The sequence below is a fragment of the Homo sapiens genome, chromosome 5 (genome assembly GCF_000001405.40).
Source record: "Homo sapiens chromosome 5, GRCh38.p14 Primary Assembly".
NCBI classification, from domain to species: domain Eukaryota; kingdom Metazoa; phylum Chordata; class Mammalia; order Primates; family Hominidae; genus Homo; species Homo sapiens.
In genome coordinates this window covers 2,779,891-2,784,327 of record NC_000005.10, presented here as the reverse complement: position 1 = coordinate 2,784,327, position 4,437 = coordinate 2,779,891, and the positions used below count along the sequence as shown (strand labels likewise).

Here is a 4,437-nt window from a genome sequence, read left to right as displayed (position 1 = left end):
CACCTGTAGACATACAAGGCCTGTGTGCACATATGTGTGCACCTGTAGACATACAAGGCCTGTGTGCATGCATGTGCACCTGTAGACATTCAAAGCCTGTGTGGATATGTGCGTGCACCTGCAGACATACATGGCCTGTATGCACATGCATGGGCACCTATACCTATAGGTGCACCTGGTATTCACTTTATCACACTTCACAGAGAATGTGTTTTTTTGTTGTTGTTTTTAATAAATTGAGGATTTGTGGCAACCCTGCATCAAACAAGTCTATTGAAGCAATGTATATCTACATACATTATATGTCTACAGGTGCATGCACATATGCACACAGACCTTGTATGTCTACAGGTGCCCATGCATTCATACAGGCCTCGCATGTCTACAGGTGCTCATGCATGCACACAAGCCATGCATACCTACAGGTGTGCATGCATGTGTACCTAGGTCTAATTTATTTATAGGTGCAGAAACATGTATACATGTCTGTAAGTGTATAAACATGCATATAAATCCTTAGAGAGAGCTCTGGGGATTTCCCTGGGGGGGGAAATGAGATTGGGTTAGTAGTCGATAGTGAGTTGGATGGTGGCCCCCAAAAAAGTACGTCCATGTCCTAAACCCCAGAACTGGTGAATGTGATCTTATTTCAAAAAAGGGTCTTTGCAGATGTAATTAAGTTAAAGAGCTTGAGAAGAAGTCATCCTGCATTATCTGTGTGAGTCCTAAATCCAATGGCAGTCATCCTTACAAGAGACAAAAGAGAAGACAGGAGCAGAGGGAAAGCCATGTGAAGACAGAGGCAGAGACTGGAGTGCTGTGGCCACAAGCCAAGGACCCCCAGGATTGCCTGCCAGCCTGGTACACAGAAGAGAAGGGGAGAAGACGGATTCTCCCGTGAGCCTCCAGAGGGAGCCAGCCTGGCCAGCACCCTGACTTAGGACTTCAGGCCTCCAGAACTGTGAGAGAAAATATGTCAGTCACCTTAAGCCACCAAATTTGTGATCATATGTTACAGCAGTCACGGCAATCTTATTTTTATCAATAATGTTGAAATTATTTATAGGAACAGTAGAATCTTGTATAATTTATGTAGATAAAATATCAGGCTCCAGATTTGTTTGGATGTGGTTCACCCATGAAAGACACAAAGCCAGAACAACGGTGGCTGAAGGACTCTCCCTGGGGGTGTGGCTTGGTCCTGGGAAACAGGCGCGGGCATCTCAGGACCCTGACACCATCCTGGGAACCTGTCCGTGCCCCTTGCTGCTTCTGCCCTGTGGACACAGGGTCTTGCCCCCTATCTGCGTTGTGTGGCCACATTGCATTCCAGCCAGGATCAAGGATGCAGGGAAGAATTGTGAGCCATCCACCAACAAGGACACTGCCAGGGAGCTGACTTGATCTCTTTGCTCATACCCTATCGGCCAGCACTTGGCCATATGGCCACACCTTGCTGTTAGGAATCTGGGAACTGTAGTCAAGGCAACCATGTACTCAGGTGAAAGCCAGGCGTTCCATTAGCATACAGCAGTATTTCTGGGATGAGGGTGATGAGGATGATGTTGGTATTCAGGGCAGGGTAGTCTGTTGTGCAGTAGGGTACTAAGTTATCCAGTTCCCCAGTCATATGACAATTCAAAATCATCTCCTGTTGAGGACCATTGCCCTGTATGAAGCAGAGGACTGCTGCCGAGGTACAATTAATTGGAAGTGCTTGCTGGATCGGCCTAAAGCAATACATCACTGATGCCATCCACACCACCTCTATTCAGGAGGATTGTCCTCTGTGACCACGGACTAGGTCAAGGAAGCAGTTGTCGTTTTGCTTTACATGTCTTTATTAATGCATACATGTGCACACATGGTTATGTGGGTCACCGTAGCTTTGCCACACATGTAGATATTCTAACAAATTCTAGCGGCTGTCCTTCCACTTAATTGCAGACACCACTACTTCATTCATTTTAGCCATATTATAACATATTTAACCAAGGATCTATTTTCTACCTTCTCTTTTTCTTTCTTTTTTTTCTCTTTGAGACTAAATCTCACTCTGTCACCCAAGCTGCAGAGCAATGGAACGATTTTGGCTCACTGTAACCTCCGCCTCCCAGGTTCAAGGGATTCTCCAGCCTCAGCCTCCTGAGTAGCTGGGACTACAGGCGTGCACCACCACACCCGGCTAATTTTTGTATTTTTAGTAGAGATGGGGTTTCACCATGTTTCCCAGGCTGGTCTTGAACTCCTAACCTCAGGTGATTCACCTGCCTCGGCCTCCCAAAGTGCTGGGATTACAAGCCTGAGCCACTGCACCTGGCCTAACTTCTCTTTTTCTAAGCTTATAAACTGACACATACTTATGGTGAAAATTGAAATAATAAAATCACATGGAGAAAATAAGAATGCATACTTATCCTATCTTCTCTTTTTCTAAAATTATAAACTGATACATACTTATAGTGGAAATTAAAATAATAAAATCTTATGGAAAAAATAAGCATATTTTAGTTCCCATTATTCTGTTGCTCAGAAATTAAACACTTAACCATATAGTGTAAATCTTAACAAATATTTTAATGTTCATGTAATCTGGATGAACAACTGTTTGTAAGAGCTACTAACTGTTCCATTCATCAATGTGTTGTTACTTATTGGAAATCTTTCTGCTAGTGGGTGTGTAAGTAGCTTCTGATTTTAAGCTATTGAAAATATGCAAGAATAAATACCCTCAAGCACATATTTCAGTGTATTTCCATAGTTTAAATTTCTGGAAACGTAAATTGTTATATCGGAGATTATGAAATTTGAAATTTTTGAATTGTGATACATGTTTTAAAATGGCCTGCAGAAATACTTAACCAATTTACCTGGGCAGCAGAAACACATAATTTCCTTTTCCTCCCCATGTTCATGAACACGTGCACATTCATTCTTCAGATAGTTTGAGCTCTGTTTCTATTTTTGCTAATGTCGTTTAATTTTCAAGTAGTCTATTTTGGGCTGCCTTGTTGTTAATTTATGATATTATTGCAGCCTCCAAAATTTTTACTTAAAAAATAATGAAATAATTTTGCAAGTTAAGCTTCTCTTTTTATGGATCTCTATGTATTTTATAAATATTCATTATTTTGGAAAATGTTTATATATGTGCATTTTTCAGTCACATAAAATGTATTAGTTAACAGCTGGCATAAGCGGCTTTCTTAGAGAGGAATCTGTCTTCGTCAGCATAAAATCTTCTTAAGAAATTCAAGATTGATGGTTTGGCTGTTGGCAGAAACTAGCACAAAATTGTGGTTTTGCTGGTCTTCCTAAGATGTGAGAGGAGTCAGGGAGGGTGGAGCAGAAAGGTGAGGCAGGGACTAGGAGGGTGAGGAAGGCGGCCAGGGAAAAGCAGTGACCAGTATTTAATCTGCCATTTGCCTTTGTCTTACAGTAAACCTGCCTCACGCCCTTCCTGGCTCTTCCTCAAAGCCACTGAAGCCCAGGAGACTCCAGACGAGGAAGGAGCAGAGGGAGCTGGTGGGTGGGAGAGCGTGGCCATCCTCTGCACCTGTGCCCCCAAAGCTGCCTGCTCCCCAGCAATGCGCCTGTGCCCACTGCAGGGCTGCGATGCAGGGCCTGGAGCCCCTTTGGTCAACCACTGTCTGGGGCAAAGGAGGACTCAGGGCTTCTGGAGCTGGTCTCTGGAATGGCTGGGATTCCATCCCCTGGTCCCCTGGTGGAGAGGCTGGAGTGGAAACAGGTTGAACCAGTTATGCTTAGAGGCCTCTCACCTGCATTTGAGGTGTGTGGGACCCGAGGGCACATTCCAACAGTGTTGGAGGCAGAGGGCTGGGGGCGGGGGAGCAGGGAGAGGCCAAGTGAGTGGGCAGCTGGGGCCATTGCACAAGCGGAGAAGGACCTAAAGTACAAGAGTGAGCTTGCCGAGGTCCTGGCGCATCTGGACGGGTGCAGCCCTGGCTTGAATTGTGCTCTTTTACAATTCATATGTTGACGTCCTATGGTTAAAATGTACCTAAAATGGGACTGTATTTGGAGATAAGCCTTTAAAGAGGTAATTAGGGTAGATGAGGTCCTTAGGGTGGGCTCTAATCCCATGGGACTGCTGTCTTTGTAAGAAGAAATTAGTTCACAGGCGAGCACAGAGGCCATAGGAGGAGCGGGTTCTCCCCACAGCCTCCCAGGGAACCGACCCTGCCCACACCTGGATCTCAGGCCTCCAGCATCCAGAACTGAGGAAGATAAGCAAGCCTCTGTCCTTTAACAGCCTCCTTTGTGGTCCTTGGTTATGGCAGCCCTAGCTAATGGATTCAGATGCTTTCAGGACCAACACACTCTTAAAAACAGTGAAATGGTGAGTTTTGCCCTCCACAGCTGGGGCCATGGCCCTGCCATCAAGGGCCTGTGAGGAGGGAGAGAGGGAAACAGATG

The 4,437-nt window shown here is 45.2% G+C and overlaps 1 annotated feature.

The window, feature by feature from the left end:
- Positions 3,176-4,112: an enhancer, noted in NCBI's record as "H3K27ac-H3K4me1 hESC enhancer chr5:2780330-2781266 (GRCh37/hg19 assembly coordinates)". NCBI's record gives its function as "activates a minimal SCP1, AML or CMV promoter by ChIP-STARR-seq in naive H9 embryonic stem cells {active_cell/tissue: H9 hESC(naive)}" and the evidence as "EXISTENCE:reporter gene assay evidence [ECO:0000049][PMID:30033119]".